Source organism: Homo sapiens, chromosome 14 (assembly GCF_000001405.40).
Source record: "Homo sapiens chromosome 14, GRCh38.p14 Primary Assembly".
In the NCBI taxonomy this organism is placed as follows: domain Eukaryota; kingdom Metazoa; phylum Chordata; class Mammalia; order Primates; family Hominidae; genus Homo; species Homo sapiens.
The window spans coordinates 74,424,729-74,446,766 of record NC_000014.9 but is presented as its reverse complement, the minus strand read 5'-3'; the positions used below and the strand labels follow the sequence as shown (position 1 = coordinate 74,446,766).

The following is a 22,038-nucleotide window of genomic DNA, read 5'->3' as shown; positions in this document are numbered from 1 at the left end:
CATGCACCTGTAATCCCAGCTACTCAGTAGGCAGAGGCAGGAGAATTGCTTGAGCTGGGAAGGCAGAGGTTGCAGTGAGCCGAAATCATGCCACTACACTCCAGCCTGGGAAAGAATGAGACTCCATCTCAAAAAGAAAAAAAAAAAAAAAGCCAGCACATAACTGGGTTTTGTTTTTTAATCTAGTTTGAGAATTCTTTACCATAGCACTTAATTCATTTACATTTGTTGTAATAGCAATAAACAACGTGTGGATTAATTTCTGCATAGTATTTTGTATAGTCCATTTGTCTCATTCTTTTTATGTTTCCTCCCTCTCTTTTCTTGGCTTCTTTTGCATTAATTGAATTTTTCTCACTCCATTTGTTTCTGGTACTTATTTAGAAGACATATTCTCTATCATTAATTTTTTTGGTGCTTATTTTAGAAAATTTCTGTAGGCTTAAATTATTGAAATCTCACATTAGTTAATTTTTTCAACTCTTTCAAACATTACAAGGACCTTGGAATATTTAGGCTGTTTCTCTTGAGTCTTGGTAGTCTACAAAATCACAAATTTAAATTTACTAAGATTGAGAAGGCATCTTCAGGGTGATAGCCAACTTTAGTGGTTTGCTCAATTATTTGAGTTGCTTCTTTCGTTCTTTAAATTCCTTACTTTCTTGCTTGATCACTAAAAATATTTTATCCAGAATTTTTAGTTGTTTTCCATGGAAGATTTGTTTAATGTAACTAGACTTTCATATTTCCAGAAATAGAAGTCTACCTAATCTCTCTGTGCCTCAATTTTCTTTTACATTAAATGGGGATAATAATAACTACCTCATAGGGTTATTATTTTGAGGAATAAATTTTAAAAGGTAATAAAGCAGCTTATACAATGATTGTAAAATAGTTTAAATCAAATGTATATATAGACATATTTGTACAAACACACTCATATATATCTCTTTATAAAGAGACTACATGCATACTCAAATATGTGTCAGAGGCTGGGCACAGTGGCTCATGCCTGTAATCCCAGCACTTTGGGAGGCCAAGGCAGGCAGATCAGTTGAGATCAGGAGTTCAAGATCAGCCTGGCCAACATAGTGAAACCCTGTCTCTATTTAAAGTACAAAAAAATTAGCCAGGCATGGTGATGCATGCCTGTAATCCCAACTACTCAGGAGGCTGAGGCAGGAGAATCGCTTGAACCCAGGAGGCAGAGGTTGCAGTGAGCCAAGATTGCGCCACTGCACTACAGCCTAGAAAACAGAGTGAGACTCCGTCTCAAAACACACACACACACACACACACACACACACACACAAATTTTAATACATCGTAAGGAAGCTTGCAATATGCTAATGTGGCTAGCTCATTTTTTTGCAGACATTAGAATAAATGTCTGTTAGTCTGTTCACATTGCTATAAAGGAATACCAGAGACTGGGTAATTTATATATATATTTTAAAAAGACATTTATTTGGTTCAAAGTTCTGCAGTCTGTACACAAAGCATAATGCTGGCATCTGCTTCTGGTGAGGGCCTCAGGAAGCTTACAATCATGGCAGAAGGTGAAGAGAATCGCACATATCACATGGTGAGAGAGGGAGCAAGAGAGAGAAAGGAGATGCCAGGCCCTTTAAAACAACCAGGTCTCATGTGAACTCATAGAGTGAGAACGGAGTTACCACAAGGACTGTGGCATGCCATTCATTAGGGATCCACCTTCATGACCCAGACACCTCCCACTAGGCCCCACCTCCAACACTGGGGATCACATTTCAGTGTGAGATTGGAAGGGAATAAGCATCCAAACTATACACACGTTCTTTTGCCATTGCTGATTAATTAAAGAATATACTGAAATTAGAAGGAAAAACTGTTACTATTTGTAACTACTGATCTGAATGAATCAGGATTTGAGGATTCTTTTACAATCAAAGCAAAATAAAGAAGTTGGTTTCTGAGGTCAATAGAACTCCTGTTTTTTGGATTTTTTTTGTCTTGTTTTGTTTTGTTTTTTTGAGACAGGGTTTCACTCTGTCACTCAGGCTGGATGGAGTACAGTGGCACAATCTTGACTCGCTGCAATCTCCGCCTCCCAGGCTCCAGTGATCCTCCCACCTCAGCCTCCCAGGTAGCTAGAACTAGAGGTGGGCACTACCATACCCAGCTCTTTTGGATTTTTTTTGTAGAGACAGGGTTTTGCCATGTTGTTCAGGCTTATCTCGAACTCCTGGGCTCAAGCAATCTGCCCATCTCGGCCTCCCAAAGTGCTGGGATTACAGGCATGAGCCACCATGCCCAGCCTTATTTTGTTTTTCTGCATTATCAGAATAGTCTCATTTTTCTCATTTACTGATCTTATAATAAATACATATTGTAAAAATTGAACTTATAAAATAAATTCATGAAGCATGGCTGGACACAGTGGCTCACGCCTGTAATCTCAGCACTTTGGGAGGCCGAGGTGGGCAGATCACCTGAGGTCAGGAGTTTGAGACCAGCCTGGCCAACATGGTGAAACCCCATCTCTACTAAAAGTACAAAAATTAGCCAGGTGTGGTGGCAGGTGCCTGTAATCCCAGCTACTTGGGAGACTGAGGCCTCTTGAATCCGGGAGGCAGAGGTTGCAGTAAACTGAGATCGCGCCATTACACTCCAGCCTGGGCAACAAGAATGAGACTCCATCTAAAAAAAATAAAATAAAATAAATTCCTTCAAATGAATATCATTTTATCTGCTTCATTTATTAGTTAGAGTCTCAAATAAACAATTGCTAAATTACACAGGGCTCTAAGAGCTGCAAGAGTTGAGAGAGATCTGTGAGTTGAAGTAGTTGATGAATGCTTCATGAAATGTAACTGAAATATGCTCAGAGATTCCGTGGAGGTTTGGACCTTCCTAGGGAAGTCATCCCCCTGACCCCTCACTCCTAACCTAATGACAGTTATTGGCCAGCCTGTCCTTCTTTACCCCAGTACCAAGTGATTCCTGAAGAAAGAAGATTCAATCTCTTCCCTTTTCAGCCATCCTCCAGGTCTCCCTTTCAAGAGAGCTTAGTGCATTTTGTGGTTGTAGAATATGTCTCATTAATGTCATATGGAAGCACTTACATCAGGTACCTGGGTCTTTCAAAGAATTCATATCATTTTCTCTAAGGCAAACACACTCAGCTCCAGTTTTCTCTGGGTAAAGCACCATCCTAAGTGTATTATACACATCATGTTCTTTAAGCCTCTCAAGACTTTCAGGATACTGCCTGGTCTTTCTCTTCTCCTTCCCAGTTGTGGAGAATAGCTCTATACTGTGGTTATTTCCTCTCAGTCTCACTGAATCCTCGGCCTTGGCTTCCACCCTGCCACTCCTCATCCACAGTTCTCGCTAAGGTCACCAGTGATTTCTGTGTTGTTAAACGCACTGAGCATCTCTCAGTCCTCATTTCACTTGACCTTTTATCATTGTTCCACACAACTGAGCACTCCCTCTTTCACGAATTGCTTTCATGAATTCCTTCACTTCTGTGACACAGGGTTTCTTGGCTTGGTTTTAGCTCTCCCTCCCCCTTGTCTCCTTTTCAGGTTCATTCTTCTCAACCAGCAATTAAATGTTGTATTTCTAGGAGGTTGAGACTCAAGCCCTGCCCCCTCTTTACACTATGCTTAATTCCTGGGGCATCTCATGCATATGTATAGTGTTGATTACTGTCTGTGCTAATTTTCCCCAAATTTGTATTTCCAGTTCAAACCCACAATCTAGCTGCCTGTTATACAACTCAGCTTGAATGTTTCAGAGGCACCATAAGCCAACAGGTCCAAAGTCACTCAGGCTCATTGACCCATACCTGCTGCTCCTCTGGGAGTCCCTCTTTTAGCAAACTGCACCATCAACCATTCAATTACTCAAATCAGAAACCCAGGCATCATTCAGGACAAATTCCTCTCTTACTATCTCCCACTCCAACCCATCTAATCTCTTACAAAATCCTGTCAATTTTATCTCCTAATCTGTCCACTTCTAACTTCCTCCATTCCTAATCCATTCTAGGCTACCATATTATTTCATTTGAACCGTAGTAGTGGCCTCCTAGCCATTGTGCCTAAACTCATTTTACCACCCTCCCAAAATCTATTGTTAGCTAGAGATCTCTTCTAAAAGCAAATCTGATAATATTAACCTCCTGCTTAAACCCTCAGTGGCCTCCTGCTGATTTTAGAATAAAAACTAAACATGGCCTAGACCTTGTTTATCTCTCCACCCTCACTTTGTGACATGTTTTCTTTTATTCTCTTCCCACCTCACTGGCCTTCTTTCTTATCTTTCACTACAGAACTTTCGTGCATCCTGTTTCTCCTTTTATCTAGTTAGCTATCCTCATTCTTCAGTGCTCAATGCAAGTATCACCTTCCCAGGAAAACTTTAGAACATCAGGTTCCTCGGAAATAGTTTCTTATAAGACCATATTGCCATTTGCGGTAGCACTTGTCACAGTTACCATCTTAATTTTGTTAATATTATTATTCAGGTATTGTTTGTGTTCTGCATTAGGCTGTTAAGTTTCATTTAGTTTTTCTCATAATCGTATGACAATGCCTAGCACAGTGCCTGGCTCACGGTGAACATTCAACAGATATTTGTAGAATGAATGGATAAAAAAAAAAGGTACTATTTTAAAGAAAGGTACTATTATTAACCCCACGTTACATCATGAAGAAATTAAGGTTCGGAGAGGTTAAGTCATGTACCCAGCTAAGAAGTGGCTGAGTCAAAATCTGAACCTGCTTTTCTGATTCTAGACCCTGCAATGCTTAAGCAGCACTCTGCTTTTCCAAGTGAACCAAACACCAAAACCAGACCTACTCACAGCTTTCTAAGGACACCAGTTCCCTGCAGCTATATCTGCATACTCTTGGAAATTTTTTTTATTAAAACAGGATCTTGAAAATCAGAACAAAACCCTAGAATCAGCCAGGCACAGTGGCTCACACCTGTAATCCCAGCACTTTGGGAGGCCGAGATGGGAGGATTACTTAAGGCCAGAAGTTCAAGACCAGTCTGAGAAATATACTGAGACCCTATCTCTACAAAAAAAAGTTTAAAAAGTAATTAGCCAAGCATGGCGGCACTCACCTGTAGTCCTAGGTACTTGGGAGCCTGAGGTGGGAGGATCACTTGAGCCCAGGAATTCGAGGCTACAGTGAGCTAAAAAGGTGCCACTGCACTGCAACCTGGGCAACAGAGCAAAGCCCTGCCTCTAATATATATATAAAAACAAAATTTATTTTTAAAAAATTCTAGAATCCTGAATCTATCCAAGTCACACAGCAAGGTCGTAACAGATTTAGGGTTAGAACTCCTAGCCCCAAACTCAATGCTTTGCACCCTGAATTCTATATACTCACCCTACCTCCACTGCCAGGGCAGGAGCTCAGTGTCCGAGGGACAAAGTTCAATCTGTCAAAAGCAGTGCTTCCAAACTTTTTTGAGTGTGGTTAATTTGTAATTGGTGAAGCAGTGTGGGCAGGAGAGCAAGAGATCCCTGGATCCACCTATTCCAACTTTCCAGGATTAAAAACAAAACAAAACAAAGCTCAATGTTATCAACTAAGGGCTATCCGACAAGCAAATTTAGGAGGACTCATATATCTATTCTAGCAGTAGCAGTGTGGCTGCTTCTGACTTGAACCATAATAACTTTCTTTGTCCCCGGCAGGCATGGTACTAAACCCATTAACTGCCTTATCTTTTCTTGTTTATACAGTTCCATGAGGGAAGTTCCATGATTAGTCCCACTTTACAGATAAAAAAACTGAGGTTCAGAGACATTGAGATTTATCCAAAATTACAAGGTCCATGAGGGACAGACTGGGGACTTATCTCCAAATGCTCTATGCTCTTAACCACTGTGCTGTGCTTCCTCAAAAACAAACAGCTATATCTATGTGCCTTAAAGCCTAGTAATTAGAAATGTATCCCTTTCACTGCTGTTTGCCTGGTACATTTATCACGTCTTTAAAAAAAAATAGTGTAATAAAAACAAACATGAGGTATTCTATATGTTTAGATATTGAGAGATACTTTTTTTTTTTTCTTTTAGACAGAGTCTCGCTGTGTCCCCCAGGCTGGAGTTCAGTGGCGTGATCTCGGCTTACTGCAAGCTCTGCCTCCCAGGTTCACGCCATTCTCCTGCCTTAGCCTCCCGAGTAGCTGGGACTACAGGCGCCTGCCACCATGCTGGCTAATTTTTTTTTTTTTTTTTTTTATGAGACGGAGTCTCGCTCTGTCGCCCAGGCTGGAGAGCAGTGGCGCGATCTTGGCTCACTGCAAGCTCCACCTCCCCGGGTTCACGCCATTCTCCTGTCTCAGCCTCCCCGGTAGCTGGGACTACAGGCCCCTGCAACCACGCCCGGCTAATTTTTGTATTTTTAGTAGAGACGGGGTTTCACTGTGTTAGCCAGGATGGTCTCGGTCTCCTGACCTCGTGATCCGCCCACCTCGGCCTCCCAGAGTGCTGGGGTTACAGGTGTGAGCCACCGCGCCCGGCCTTAATTTTTTGTATTTTTAGTAGAGACGGGGTTTCACCGTGTTAGCCAGGATGGTCTCAATCTCCTGACCTCGTGATCTGCCCGCATCGGCCTCCCAAAGTGCTGGGATTACAGACGTGAGCCACCGCGCCCAGCCCGAGATGCATTATTAAGGCCAAAAATAATGCCATGGTAGACTATGTGTAATCTCCTATTGTACTGAAAAGTACACATGAACTTCTGGAAGGATATACAATACATAGTTAATCAGTTGGAAGTGGGCTTGGAGAGGCCATAAGCAGGGAGCACCCTTATACCATTGACTTCTCCACTTCATAAGCAATTATTACTTGTATAATTTTTTTTTTTTTTTTTGAGATGGAGTTTCACTCTTGTTGCCCAGGCTGGAGTGTAATGGCACGATCTTGGCTCACCACAACCTCTGCCTCCTGGGTTCAAGCGATTCTCCTGCCTCAGCCTCCCGAGTTGCTGAGATTACAGGCATGCACCACCACGCCCGGCTAATTTTGTATTTTTAGTAGAGACGGGGTTTCTCCAATTGGTCAGGCTGGTCTCGAACTCCCGACCTCAGGTGATCCGCCTGCCTCGGCCTCCCAAAGTGCTGGGATTATAGGCATGAGCCACTGCGCCTGGCCTACTTGAATAATTTTTTAAGCTGAACAATATATTGTAAATGTAAATATACATCATTTCACAGCATAGTTAACTAAAAACCCGCCACAAAGTAAATTGATCCAAGACTAGCAGCAATTTAATTCCCTGTTCACACTCAAGCCAAGACTCATGACAGTGAGACTGTGCAGGCAAGAGAGAAGCAATGCAGGCACTGAGGTCAGACTGATCAGGGCTCAAATCCCCGTTTCCACCACTTACCAGCTTTATGACTTAAGGTGTGTTGTTTAACCTCTGAACCTCCCCAGCCTCCTCCCAGACCCTCAAGAGTCAAGTGAAGGAGAGACAAGTAAGATGTAAAAGTACAACGCTCTGAGTGCTATGGGAGGGAAAATACGAGTTATTACAGGAAGCCAGAGAGGGGGCATCCAGCCCAGGCGGAGGAGTCTGGGAAAAGACACCAAGGAGGAAACCCCCGAGCTGAGCCTTTTTTTTTTTTTTTTTTTTGAGACAGAGTTTCGCTCTTGTCACCCAAGCTAGAGTGCAATGGCACAATCTCGGCTCACTGCAACCTCTGCCTCCCGGGTTCAAGTGATTTTCCTGCCTCAGCCTCCCAAGTAGCTGGGATTACAGGCACGTGCCACCACGCCTGACTAATTTTTTGTATTTTTAGTAGAAACTTGGTTTCATGATATTGGCCAGGCTGGTCTTGAACACCTGACTTCAGAAGAACCTCAGTTTCCTCACCTGCAAAATGGAATAGTACTGCCTTACAAAGCAGTGATAAGGATAAGAGTGCTAATGCATGTCAAGTACTTTGTACAGAACGTGGCAGGTAGTGAGCAGTCACTAGGGCTAGTAGCCATTTTTAGGCACTGATAACAGAACATTCTTCCCCCATTACAGGAATTCCAACTATGCTCATGGTTGGGTGTTAGGAAATGTAAGATTGCCCAGGGTCAAGGGACAGTCAGGCTTCTGAGTAGTAAGAAAAGGGCTAATGGCCTTTTAATTTTTCAGTCTGTGTGTCACCCATGAGGCTTCCAGGATCTGTAGCTATTCCTCAATAATTATTAGCAATTTGACCTGAGGAGAAAGTTTTCTGCCTGTGAACCTTTGAGGGTGGGGTGAGTTTGAGAAATAGATGGCCCAAGCTTTAGTTTCATTCCCATCCATCCCCTGCCGCCAACTCCCTGCCAGGAAATTTACAAGCTTAGAAAGTTTAATCAATCGCAGGAATTTTTACAGGTGAGTTTACCTAAGGTGGAGTTGGAACTGCTGTGAGCTCACAATTCCTTAACCCAAATTCTGAAATCTAAAATACTCTGAAACCAAAAGTTTTTTTGTAAGCCTAAGGAGAACTCATTAAGAGGAAGACCCTGACCTAAACCACCATAAGGTTACTTAACATCTTTATTGATCACACTTAGGATGACTAGTCATACATTTTACTGAAGAGATATTGATGTGCTTGGTTATGTGGTGCTGCCACAGACCTCACCAAGGATTTTATATAGCATACAGTAGGTGCACCATATTTCCTTGTTAAAATCTGAAAAAATCCGAATTCTGGAAAACATCTGGTGCCAAGAGTTTCAGATAATAGTCTGACTGTGAACCTATATTTCTAGACAGGACTTCAGGTTTTCCTTGTCCACATCCCAGCTTCTTTCTATCATTCATCGCAGGGTCATCTGTGGGGGCAGAAGAACGTGGCTAAAGACTCAGAGGTTTGGGGGCCCTATAGTAGGGCTGTCAGCACCATGGATAGCAAAACAGCCCCTGAGCGGCTGCCAAACAAATTTGCTGACATCTTGGACTCAGCTTTTCCTACTAAAGAGAGATTGACACAATGAAGCTTGCCTGAGAAATGCAACCAATTGTTTGCTAATAGTAAAACACAAGGTATAGGGGTGGGAGCTGGGGGATAGTTGATGTGGTCCAGGCAGAGGAAATAAATGTGTTTCTTATCTTTTTCCTCCAGCTGGTTCCAGGCTCTTCTCCTCTGACATTATTAAAAGCCTGGCAGGTACTTTGAATGTTTGTTTCCATCTAGTTTCCTTGCCATTCTAATCTGCAAATACTCTTAGCTAGTTTCCTTTCTTGCATGTTCTGTGTTGTCTAGCCACTAAATTTTCCCAGCCTCACCTGCCTGGCAACCAGGTACATGAGTAAGACCTTGTTAGAAGTGGACAGCAAGTTTCTGCTGGACTTCTTCCAGCCCTGGTCATTCTAACAAAAGAGATGTGAAGTAAGCCACAAGTCTCCACTGTTGTTCATGATCGATTTATCATTAGGTACTTGAGGAGGAAAAGAGGGGCTACAGTGAGGTGGTTTCCTTTACTACTAAGTGAAGTCATGCCCTGCCTCAATGATTTGAGTCCCCTGTCACTGAAATCCATGCCTCAAACAGCAGGCATGAGGTCCCAGGACATCAGAGCTGCAAGGGCCTTAGAGCTTATATGCTGGAGGCAGTAGAGGCAGAATGGTTGCTTTTCTTTATTCAGCAAACATCTATTAAGTGTTTACTTATGTCAGGCATAAGCTAGGTACAAGGGATAGAAATACACCCCCAACCTCCTCCCAGAAACTCAGAGTCAAGTGAAGGAGAGACAAGTATGATGTAAAAGTACAACGCTCTGAGTGCTATGGGAGGGAAAATACGAGCTATTACAGGAAGCCAGAGAGGGGGCATCCAGCCCAGGCAGAGGAGTCTGGGAAAAGACACCAAGGAGGAAACCCCTGAGCTGAGCTTTTTTTTTTTTTTTTTTTGAGACGAGTTTCGCTCTTGTCGCCCAAACTGGAGTGCAATGGCATGATCTTGGCTCACTGCAACCTCTGCCTCCCAGGTTCAAGCGATTTTCCTGCCTCAGCCTCCCGAGTAGCTGGGATTGCAGGCGCGTCCCACCACGCCTGACTAATTTTTTGTATTTTTAGTAGAAACTTGGTTTCATGATGTTGGCCAGGCTGGTCTTGAACACCTAACTTCAGAAGATCCGCCCGCCTCGGCCCCCCAAAGTGCTGGGATTACACGTGTGAGCCACTGCACCCAGCTGAGCTGAGCTTTTAATGGTGAGTGGGTTGGCCAGACGTGGTGGCTCACACCTGTAATCCTAGCACTTTGGGAGGCTGAAGCAGGAGGATCACTTGAAGCCAGGAGTTTGAGACCAGCCTGGGAAACAAAGTGAGACCCTGTCCCTACAAAAATAAATAATAAATAAATAAATTAGCCAGGTATGGTGGCACATGCCTATAATTTCAGCATTTTGGGAGGCTAAGGCAGGAGGATTGCTTGAGCCAAGGAGGTCAAGGCTGCAGTGAGATATGATGGCACCTCTGCACTCCAGCCTGGGCGACAGAGCAAGACACTATCTCTTAAAAAAAAAAAAAAAAATGAGTGGGGTAAGGGATTTCAAGGAAGCAGAATGGCACATGCAAAGGGAGTACTCTGGAGAACCCAGACTTGTTATCTCTTTGTACATATATGTATTTGTCCTTATTCCACAGCTAAAATCATCCCGTCTTTGCTGGCCAGAGCAATATCTCATATCTCTTTGTATCCCCAGAACCTACCCTGTTTTCTGTGTATAGTAAATGCTTTCTCAGTGGCTCTCAGTGATAATGGGTTTGAGGCCTCACACTATCAGAACTGTAGCCAAGTAGAGGATTTTACAGCAGAAACCAGAAAATTATGGTAGAAACTTGGACACACTCACTCTATGCCTCTAACACTTGCTGTGCTGCAGCAAGGAGGAACTCCTGACGGCTCTAGCAAACTGCAGAAATCAAAACTGCTCCTCACTTTCCACGGCTGAAAGTTCCTCTGGAGAGTGTGTGGCCTCACACAAAGTCCCCTGTACATGTTCCCAAGAAGATTTAGTGTGAGCCCCAGTTCCAGCAGTCGTCAGCTCAGTGATGCTGGGAGAACATTCCATGACCTGTCTGAGCTGCTGACTTTCTACCTACAAAAATAGAACTTATTACTGGGTTACCTACCCCAATGCATATTACGGAGGTAAAAAGAAGAGTAGTCAGATTCACAGCAAGCACTTTGAAAACACAAAACATCACTACTATCAGAAGCTATCATTCTACTGGGTAAGGAATCACAAAGCCCAGACTCCCCTGCCAACCAGCTGTTGGCCCTGGCCAACTCTTCTCTCTGGGCCTCATTTCTTTCCCTGTGGTTGAATTCTACAGAAGATTCTTGAAGATCTTACATTGTTCCACGATTTGGTTTGCAAACTGGAAGCTTTAAGCAGCCTTTGTACACTGTGCTCTGGAACAGTTGAGCTTTAATCTTGTTTTTATGTCCTGATGCTTGTCCATTGGCACCAAAACTCCCAGTATTGGCTGATTGAATTGAAGCAGGGATAGGCCTGGTTGTCCCTGGAAGACTGCAATGGCTACAGCCCAAAGAAGTACTCTTGGCTGGAGCCTTGAGGATGGAGGGCAAGGCCAGGCAGGGAGAGAGATTCAAGTTGCAAACCCAGGAAAAGTCTTCCCCTAGATTTTTTTTTTTTTTTTTTTTTTTTTTTTGAGACGGAGTCTCACTCTGTTGCCCAGGCTGGAGTGCAGTGGCACGATCTCGGCTCACTGCAAGCTCCGTCTCCTGGGTTCACTCCATTCTCCTGCCTCCGCCTCCCGAGCAGCTGGGACTACAGGCACCCACCACCACGCCCGGCTAATTTTTTTTTTTTTTTTAGTAGAGATGGGGTTTCACTGTATTAGCCAGGATGGTCTCGATCTCCTGACCTCATGATCCACCTGCCTCGGCCTCCCAAAGTGCTGGGATTACAGGTGTGAGCCACCGCGCCCAGCCTGCCAGCTTCCCCTAGATTTTCAGTGTTTAACTGAAGAAAATGGTTTCTATAACATTGAAGAAAAACATTGCAGCTTAGCAGAATGAAATGAATTAAATCCCTTACCAGTTTGCTGTGTAGAAACTCTCTCTCTCTCTCTCATATCTGCCCTCTCTTTATCATGCCTCGTCACTCATTCACTTTCCCCTCCCAGTTTCCTGACCCTTCTGGATGTTCCAGCTTGCCTTGATCTCTTCCCCTTTCCTCCCCAAGTCATCTCCTCTGCCACCTCTTTCTCCCCCTCCACTGTGTTTCCCACTCCCTGCATCCTCCCCACTGCTTTTTATTTGCCTTCCTTTTTTCTGTGAGGATCACTAGGGCTGTAAGGAGAACATAATCCTTTAGAAATGTGACCTCATTTACTATTATTCTCCCACCGAGGCAGGCCAGGGGTAGAGGTCACTCCCCAATCCCACCACTGTTCCTGCTGGGAGTAAAGATTTTGAGAGAGAGGATGAGTCTTCAAAGGGTACCCAATGCAGCAATCATTCACTCAATGGATATTTATTTTTATTTAAGCTTTAAAATAATTTTAAGGTAGTGCATGCATATTGCAGAGAGTTAGAAAATACAAAAACAGGATAAAGAGGAATGTTTAAATGAACCAAAGTTACCTCCATCAAGGGACAACCCTTAATAGCATTTTGTTTTAATTCCTCCTAAGATTTTTATGGGCTTTTTGGCATACTTGTTGTTATATTATATGTGCAATTTTGTAACCTGCTTTTTTCCACTTCATTTCATAACATAAGCATTTCTCCCATGATATTGCAAACTCTTAAAATATCATTTAAATTTGTGTACCCATTGCCCTATTTTTTGGACATTTATATATGTTCCAATTTTTCTGTAATGATAATACTGTGATGGCTAGTTTTGTGTGCAAAGCTTACATAGTTAGTATGGTATTAAGGTTAAGAGTGAGGCCTTGAAGCCAGGCTGCCTGGGTTGGAATCTGGGCTCTGTCCTTACAAGCCATAAAACCTTGGGTAAATTATATGTCCCAGTTTTCACATCTGCATAATAGGGATGATAATGGTACCTACCTTGTGGGGTTGTTAGAATTAAATCAGATTGCCAGGCACAGTGGCTCCCGCCTGTAATCCCAGCAGTTTGAGAGGCTGAGGTGGGCGGATCACCTGAGTTCAGGAGTTCAAGACCACCCTGGGCAACACGGTGAAACACCGCCTCTACTAAAATACAAAAAATTAGCCAGGTGTGGTGGGTGCGTGCCTATAATCTCAGCTACTTGAGAGGCTGAGGCACGAGAATCACTTGAGCCCAGGAGGTGGAGGTTGCAGCGGGCCAAGATTGCACGACTGCACTCCAGCCTGGGTGACAGAGCAAGACTCCGTCTCAAAAAAAAAAAGGAATTAAATCAGATTATTTATCTAAACAAGTGCCTGGCATGTAGTAGTTACTCAAAAAATGTTACCTATTAATATTGTCTTAGGATGGTTTCCCAGTAGTGAACTTACTCTGTCCCTTGATACAGGGTACCAAATTGCTTCCAAAAAAGAGCAAACATGTATTACAAACCTACCATGCTTTGAACCTAGGTGTGCCTGATGCAAAGAATCCTGCTCATTCCACCAGCCCCCCACAGCATCTCCTCAGGCAAGGGTTAGAGATCTCAATGATTGTTCTCCTAGCGCCAAAGAAATGAAGTATTGTTAAGATGAAATGAAACAGTGTATAGAGCATCTGCACAAGACCTGGCACTTATTAAATTATTTAAGAATCAATACAAATCATATTTTATAGTAAATGTTTACATCGTAGATTTAATAGATAATTCATTGAGATAGTACATTTTTAAAAACTCTTAACACAGTTCCTGGCACATGGCAGGAGCTCAAAAAAGTCTACCGTCCATCCATCTCTCCTTCTGTCTCTTTTTTTTTTTGAGACAGAATCTCCCTCTGTCCCCCAGGCTGGAGTGCAGTGGTGCAATCTCGACTCACTGCAACCTCCACCTCCCGGGTTCAAACAATTCTCCTGCCTCAACCTTCTGAGTAGCTGGGACTACAGGCATGCCACCACACCCAGCTAACTTTACTATTTTTAGTAGAATCAGGATTTCACTATGTTGGCCAAGCTGGTCTCGAACTCCTGACCTCAAGCAATCCACCTGCCTTGGCCTCCCAAAGTGAGGGGATTACAGGCGTGAGCCACCTCACCTAACCTTCTCCTTCTACCTCTATTGTACCTCTCTCTCAATAGCTCTCCAGTGCCCAACCTGGCTCAGTGTGCCTTCACTACTCTAGCTGTTAACATTCTCATTGACATGACAGAGCCCTGCCATCATAGCACAGTTAGGGCCCACAGTTTGTGCTGGAATAACAGGCTTGGGAGCCAGAGGGAGAGGATTATATACCAGGGTGTGGAGGAGAGATGGGATGAAGGCTTCAGTGAAACCAAATATGTGTTTGCTGTAATGCACAGCCTTACATGGGTGCCCCAAGCACTGCTTGCTGCTGGGACCATGGGCGACCAGGGATCAAGAAGCTGATAACTGCAAGTAGTGTGGCCTCATTGGCTTATCCCTTCTTCTCCCTTTCTCTCTCTCTCTCTCTCTCACACACACACACACACACACACACACACACACACACACACCTTCCAAGGCATAAGAAGAGGAGAGTCCTTGGGAGTGGGTGTTCTGGCAAAAAGGAAACAGTAGGCTGAGTGTTTCCCCTTCTCTCTGGGCATTTTTTCACTTCCCCCTCTGCTTGCAGACCCTGCTAGCCCCCAGGGTGGTGCTCCCAGTGCTCCTCCCTCCCTCACCTGTTCACTCTTGGGTTCCCTTAACCCAGCTGAATTAGGCTGCAATCTTCAAAAGGAACATGAGAAAAATTAAGATAAAACAAAAGAGAAATGAACAGAGCATATTGAAAGGCTCAGCCTTTGAGTTCAGCAAGTCCAAGTTCCTGATCTAGCGGAGAAGTTGGGGACTTGCACCATCACATTCCATCTGAGGGTGGCATGTCCAGAGATTCTCTGTACATTTTGAAGTTATTTCCTCTTGTTTCTCTTTCTGCTCCCTCATTAAATGTCACAATTCCTTGGACAATGATGCAGATGAGTAAGATTTCTGGGGTAGACAGTGGGGGAAAAAATCAGCTTTGGCATCACACAGACCCGGCTTCAAATCTTGCCCAGTCATTTGCTGAGTGTATGAATCTAGTATATTAATTTAACTTCCATGAGCCTTTATTAAAAACAAACTTATTGAATTATTTTGAGGATTAAAAGATAAAACTGTCTAATACAGAGTAGACAGTCAAAATGGACTCTTTTTCATGTCCTGGACCAAAGAGTATAACAAGTTCTCCAGCTTCCCCAAGGATGTTTTCTTAGTACCAATAACCTTTTGCCTTCCAGAGCCCTGCCTCCCCAGACCCACAGGAAGGCACAAGGAAAGTTCTTCCCTTTACACAGAGGGAGAAAGGCTCACTTTCCAAGCTCAGAAAGCCATTCTTGGGGCAAACACACCCTACCTTACATATACACACACACACACGCACATGCAAAAATACACACATGCACAAAGATGGGAGCAGTCCTGGGTCCTGGTCTTAGCTCTTTAAAGGGCTCCAATCAGGGATTTGCAGGAGCTTGGGGCCCACTCTGCATTGTCCCAGTTCAGGGTGAAGGCAAAGAAGGCCTCTTTCTGCAACTCCCCCAGCCCCATCACACTGGCTCTGGCTTCAAGGGCAGGAAGAAGGCAGGATTATGCATCAGTTTCATTTTTTTTCTTTTGGCTTGGTATTGATCTCTGACTATTTTTTCCAAGTTGGAAGTTACTTAGCTTCTCTGGTTACTTAGCTTCTAGTTTTCCTCATCTGTAAACTGGGAATTATACATGTTTATAAGAATGAAATGAGATAATGGCAAAGCAGATGCTTCAAAAATTGCTGTGTGTTGAGCAGCAATTGCACCACTGCACTCCAGCCTGGGTGACAGAGTAAGACTCTGTCTCAAAAAAAAAAATTGTAGTGTGCAAGCAAATATAAAGAATGCTAGGCCGGGCATGTTGGCTTACGCCTGCAATCCCAACACTTTGGGAGGCCAAGGCGGGTGGATCAATTGAGGTCAGGAGTTCAAGGCCAGCCTGGCCAACATGGTGAACCCCATCTCTACTAAAAATACAAAAATTAGCTAGGTATGGTAGCACACACCTGTAATCCCAGCTACTTGAGAGGCAGAGGCAGGAGAATCGCTTGAACCTGGGAGGCGGAGGTTGCAGTGAGCCGAGATCATGCCATTGCACTCTAGCCTGGGTGACAGAGTGAGACTCTGTCTCAAAAAAAAAAAAAGAATGCGTATTCTTCCGCTCATTTTCATTTTGTTACCATATCAGGTGAAAGAACCCTGCCATCTGCTTGCCACTGTTGATAAGCCCCACCCTGGCACCCCCAACCTCTCACACATATACGCTCACTCATCCTTGCTCCAGCAAAGTGGGAAAGTGCCAAGAGTGCAGGTTACTCTGCCAGGGTGCAAATGCTCACATGCCCCGAGCAGCCTGCGGATGCCAGAGTTAGTGGTGGAGTTCAGAGCTGTGCAGTCTGCGGTGGCTGGATTCCTTCACTTTATGCTCTGGTTCTACCTCTCAAATTGGCAGTAGCTCACCCACTCTGCTCCCCAGGCTTGAGTGAGTGTGTGCCTGGCAGGAAAGCAGGGAATCGGGCGGGACCGGTGCTAAGAACTCTCCTCATCTTCTTTCCTGGGCATGAATCAGTGTGTTTCTAAAGAAATGGCTTCTTCCGTTTTGCAGTCTCCTATGGAAAAAAGAAGTGAGCAGCTGTGGTAATGTACTTCCAAAGCCCCCCAAATAAGAAGTTTAAAAGACAGACAACTCTAGACTTCATTGCTGGGGGTCTGCCTCAAACCAAAGGGCCTGACTCAGAAGCAGTAAGGGTTTCCAGGGTTCTCTCTAGCATTAAGGGTCAAGAATTTGTTCCCACTATTTGCTTACAGCCACATATGCACCCTTCCTTGGAACTGTGTCATCCTGGAGCCATATCCATGAGTGCAGGATTTGGCTGATGGGCAGTCCAAAGGCCCACCTCTCCTGTCCTCTGCCAGACAATCCCTCCTTTAGCCAGGGATTTGTGGGTCACAGCCATATGGCCTTGGCCGTGAGCTCAACTCCGAGGTAGAGGGCTCACTAGGCCAGGGGTGGGGCTCACCTGTCCTCTTAAGGGAAGCATCTCTTCCAGTGTGTGGCCTATTGAAGTAGTAGTGGGGCAGGCCTCTCTATGCTTGGTGCTGATTTACATTCCCTAGAGAACACTGTGAGGCAATCAACCCCTTGTAAAAAGAACCAAGAGTTTATGCATGAAAAAGCTTATGAAGGGAAGTCCCCAGGTGGGAAGAGATTAGCAGCCGGAGCTGACTCCAACTAAAACAGAACCCTCTAGGGTTGGATTTCACTTAAGGAATGTCAGAGATGTGGGAGGAGAAGAGGACACGAGGGCATCCCCTCCCAGGTTTTCAGCCAGTGCCTACTCTGTCCCTTACCTGTGGTCCTCACCCTAGTCCCAGCGAGGATGCTTGCTACCTCCAGGTGAGCTTCCAGGGCTGCTCTGCCCCAGTCAGCTCTCCTGGCCCAAGTCTGGGCCTTTCCCTTTTCCATTCAGATAATCAAGACAAGATGGGAGGAGCCTTTTTAGCTGAAGAAAATTTTCTAGGAACCAAAGGGAAAATAAAATTTTAAAAAAAGAGAGAGTGCCTAGAAACTGAGGGGCTATGGTGCTAAGCAGCATTACCCAAGGTAAGCAGTTTGCTCCCCTCCTGATGCCCTCTGGTAAATAGCATTAGCTTCCCAGCAGCAGGAGCCCCCAGTGTTACCCTTCTGGACTTGCTCCCTTCCCCACAACCAATCTCTCCTCTCTGTTTTCACCCAGAAGTGTCTTAAATCCGTTCCCTGCTCCCGTCCTGTTGACTCTGCCTTGCTCAAGTTCTCACCACCTCTTTCCTGGGCTCTGGTGGAGCTTCCTCATCAGTCCTCCAGGCTCATCTGTTCACTCCGGCCTTCCTACCAACAATCCCCTCCTCCCATGGCCTGCCTGGTGACTGTCTCATCCTTTAATAAAACTCAGACCTTCTCCAGGAAGCCTCCTGGGACTTCCCCAGGCAGGGTGAGTTGTTTTCTTCTCTGGCACTCTTCACTTACTCCATGACAGCATTTATCACAAGGTGTTGGAATTGCTGGTCAACATGTCTATGGACCGCATCCCCTTCATTGCAGCTCCTTCAAAGGCCTGGACAATGGTTTATACTTTCCATTCTTGGTGTCTAACAGAGGGGTTGATTTTCATTACATGGCAGGAAATGCTTGATGGAAAAAGGAAGGGAGGGATAAAGAGAGAATGGAAAAAGAATGGAAACTTTGCATGGTTGTAGATTCTTCAGTCCCTAAGCCACCCCTGTACCTTGTGAGAGGTAAAGGTTAGTTTCCCGGGAAGAAATTCTTATCACTGCATTACCCACTGTTCTCTGTCACAAGCATCATACATTGCTGATTGCACTTATAGTTTCTTCAGAGCTATTGAATTATAAGAAAGCAAAGGCCCAGGAAGATTAGGCGACTGCCTAAGGTCGCACAGCCAATTAATGACAAAGGCGAGACTAGAACCTGGGTCTCCTGGCACCAGGCCAGGGCCCTTGATACAACACCAACAGCCTCTCTTTGAGTTTTCCCTCCAGGCAGCAGCATGTAATTATCAACATTAGTATTTAGAATTTATATGCGGCTTTTGCTTCACTGGCTTTTTTATTATCCTTTCAATTAGTATTTCAGTATGCAGCCCAGGCATGGAGCACAGCCAGGGTGGGGAGGGGAGCAGCAGAGGGAGGCCAAGGCCAAGTAGGTGGCCATGAGCCCCTGTGAGAGGAAGGCCAGAGAAAGCAAAGGTACAGGAGGGTGGCCTGACATCAGAGACAATGTCTTGTGTGTGTGTCTGTGTGTGTCTATGTGTGTCTGTGTTGTGTGTGTGTCTGTATGTCTGTGTTTTGAGGAGGAGGGTGTCTGTGAAGATGAAGTATGGGCCTGAGATGAGTGGTCCAAGACCCTTGCTGGCCTCAGGGGGCTTCTCACTGCATTATCCACTAATGGGGCAGAGACAGGAAGAGCAATAATATATTTAGCACCCAACAAGTTAAACACCAATACCAGCCCTGAGACAGACCCCAGGATAAGGGAGTTCTCTGTCCTGCCTTGAAGGGAAGGAGACCCAAGCCCCATGATGTGGACTTGCTCCTGGCTCCTACTGTGCACTCTAGGAGCTACACCGAACTGTGCCAGATGCCCACATCCTGTGGGAGTGAAGGAGTCCTGGAGTCCACCATGCTATGTGCTATAGCATCCTCAGCTGGATGCTAGGAGACTAGTGGATGCTAGTGGAATCCCACTGCCAGACCCTGGTTCCTTGTGTCTTCCAGCCCCAGCTGCAGCCTGCTCTGTGGTTTACTTTGCAAACCCACACTTACCTTCAGAAAATGAGAATACTCTCTCCTCCTGACCTCCTGGGACTTTGGTGAGACTCAAGACCTTGTGAAGGCGCTCGAAGAATAGGTTCATCCACTGGTAACACTCAAGATAGGGCATCCCCATGCAAAAAAAAAAAAAAAAAAGGAAACGCAGGTGGAGGTGGATAAAGAGCAGCACAGGGTGGAGACAAAGCAGCCAAAAGGCCTGCATTCGGATCTCAGGGCTCTTGCTGGGAAAACTCAGGGGGACGCTCACTCACTGAGTGCCTATTGAGTGCCAATGTGTCACGTATGTCATCTCATTTTGTCCTCATATGACCCCTCACTTTGTCCATGAGGAACCTGAGGCTTTAAGAGGTTAGGTAACTTGCTCGAGGTTATACAGCAAGTGGGACCCTAGGACCAAAACTTAGGTCCATGAGCTTTAAAACCTGTGCCCTTCCCAGCACAGCACTGAATCTCCAAATCACAGGATTTCATCCTTGTGAGCCCAGCGTCCTGGTCTGCAAAATTGGAGGGGGAAGGGGGACAGGGGGAGGGGGGCAGGGGGAGGGGAAGAGGGGAAGAGGGGCACTATATTGCCTAATAGAGTTGTTAAGAAAATTAAATGAGCTTATGTTGATTAAACACATTATCGGGCTTGGTATCTGGTATATAGTAGGTGCTCAATAAATGCTTTCTGTTTGTTTTTCTTTTTAGGGCAGATCAATGTTAAAAACTCAGGGCTGGCTTTGGAGCCTAGGAGCTCCAAAATGCTTCAAGAAGCCCAAGGGCCTCCCATCGCTCTGGGGTGCGCGGGAGGAGGGGAGAGAAGGGCTGGGAAAGAGGGCTCGGCTCCAGGAAGCGGGTACGCGGGTTCCAGCTGCGCGCCCCTCGCTTCGCCGCCTCCTCCGGGCTCCCCCGACTTCCCGCCCCGCCCCGCCCCGGAGCCGGGTCCGGAGTGCCTGGTGGGCTGATTCCGGAGCGTGGAAGGGAGCACGGAGCACGGAAGCGAGAGGGAGGCGGCGGCGGCGGGAGGCGGGAAGGAGGGGGACCCTCCTCGCTGCTCTCCCAAGTCGGCGCGGAGCCGCCTCGGGCCGGGCCGAGGGCTGCGCGGCGGCGGCGGCGGCGGGGCCCGGCCAGGATGCGGGGCTCCCGGGACCGCGCGGGGCGGGGCGGGCGGCGGCGGCGGGCTGCGGGCGGGAGCTGTCCGCGGTGCTGAAGCGGCGGCTGCTCAGGGACGCGGGGACGAGAGCAGGGGAGCCCTCCTGGGAGTTCCACCGCGACCGCGAGGCGGGGGCGCCGTCGCTCACCGGCCCATGCCGAGCCCCCGAGCCCCGCGGAGGAGGCGGGACCGTCCGCGGCGGGACAGGTAAGGGGCGGTCTGGGGGCGCCGCGGGAGCGCAGAGCTAGGCACGGAGCGGGGAGTGAGCTGGGGAGGGCACGGGAGCCCTCTCGGGGCTAGGGGCTCTGACTCCCTGCTTGGCCGCACCTTGCGCTCCGCCAAGGCTTGCACTTCGTCCCTCCCTACCCCTCATCCTGCAGGCTGGGGGTGCTGGGAGGGGGCTGATGAACTGGGGTCAAGACACCATAACCTCACAACATCAGGCCTTGACCCTGACCTCAGGCAGCTCCTAGACATCCTGCCTACTGACGGCAAGAAATACTGATTAGAGCCTCAGACTCCCTGGTACCCCAGTCCCCACCAAGGTTTTGCGACACTAGCAAAATCTGAGCAGGCTTCACTAAGCTCCCCTCTTCTCGCACCCAAACCTGTTCACCCAGGTGACTGAGGTGGCTGTGGTACCCCCTGCTCTGAGATTTCTCTGCCCTGGAAATGGCTCTTGGGCCAAGGGATTGGCTCTTGGGCCAAGGCCCCTTAGGATGGATTAACCCATTTCTTCAGGGAAGGAAGGAGGTCCTGGAAGATACCTCAATTTTTTTTCCTATGACACTCTTGACGCTCACAGAAGCAGGCAGGATTTGCATCACATCTCTTGGCGCATGAGGGCAAAGAGTCAGGGAACCTGGGTCCTGTTTTCTATTATGTGCTGGTGACCCTAGACAGAGCCTCCATTAGGAGTTCTCTCTCTTTCTGGCAAGAGTGCGCTGAATGAGCTCATTCAGGCCTGCAAAGTGCTTCTAGTTCTTCAGAGCAGAGTTCTCTATGACTGGCAGAATGTAGCGATCAAAATAAAACTGCGTGGAGGAAGAATTGGCCTACCCTTGTGGCTGACCACTTCTTTCTACTGCTTTATCCCCACCCTCCAACCCAACACAACTTCCCTACCCCCAGGGGTAGAAAGAGCACTAGAGTAGGAGTTCCTGGCTGGGTGCTGGCATTTACTGGCTTTAGCTAGTTCCCTAAGCTCTTTCAACCTCATCCTCCTCACCCCTGGAGTGGGGATAAGGTCACCGCTCTGCTCACCTCAGGGAACTGCCTTGGGGCCCAATGAAAAACAATGCACCTGATTGGAGGCTTGCCACCTGTACATCTCCATACCAGTGTGCGCTGCTGTCACTGTTCCCAACCCCTAGCCAGGCCTGCTGTCAGT

At 46.3% G+C, this 22,038-nt stretch overlaps 1 protein-coding gene across 2 annotated transcripts in view; it reads left to right on the top strand.

Moving 5' to 3' along the window:
* Window positions 1-22,038, top strand: part of SYNDIG1L (synapse differentiation inducing 1 like) — a 74,245-nt gene that overhangs the window by 33,377 nt on the left and 18,830 nt on the right. Inside the window, exon 1 of one of the 2 annotated variants that reach the window (NM_001105579.2) lies at window positions 20,557-20,855. The exons of the other annotated variant lie outside the window; for it this stretch is intronic. The gene's annotated coding sequence lies outside the window, so the exon portion shown is untranslated. Of the gene's footprint in view, window positions 1-20,556; window positions 20,856-22,038 lie in introns of those variants that run through there. 2 annotated transcript variants of the gene reach the window in all.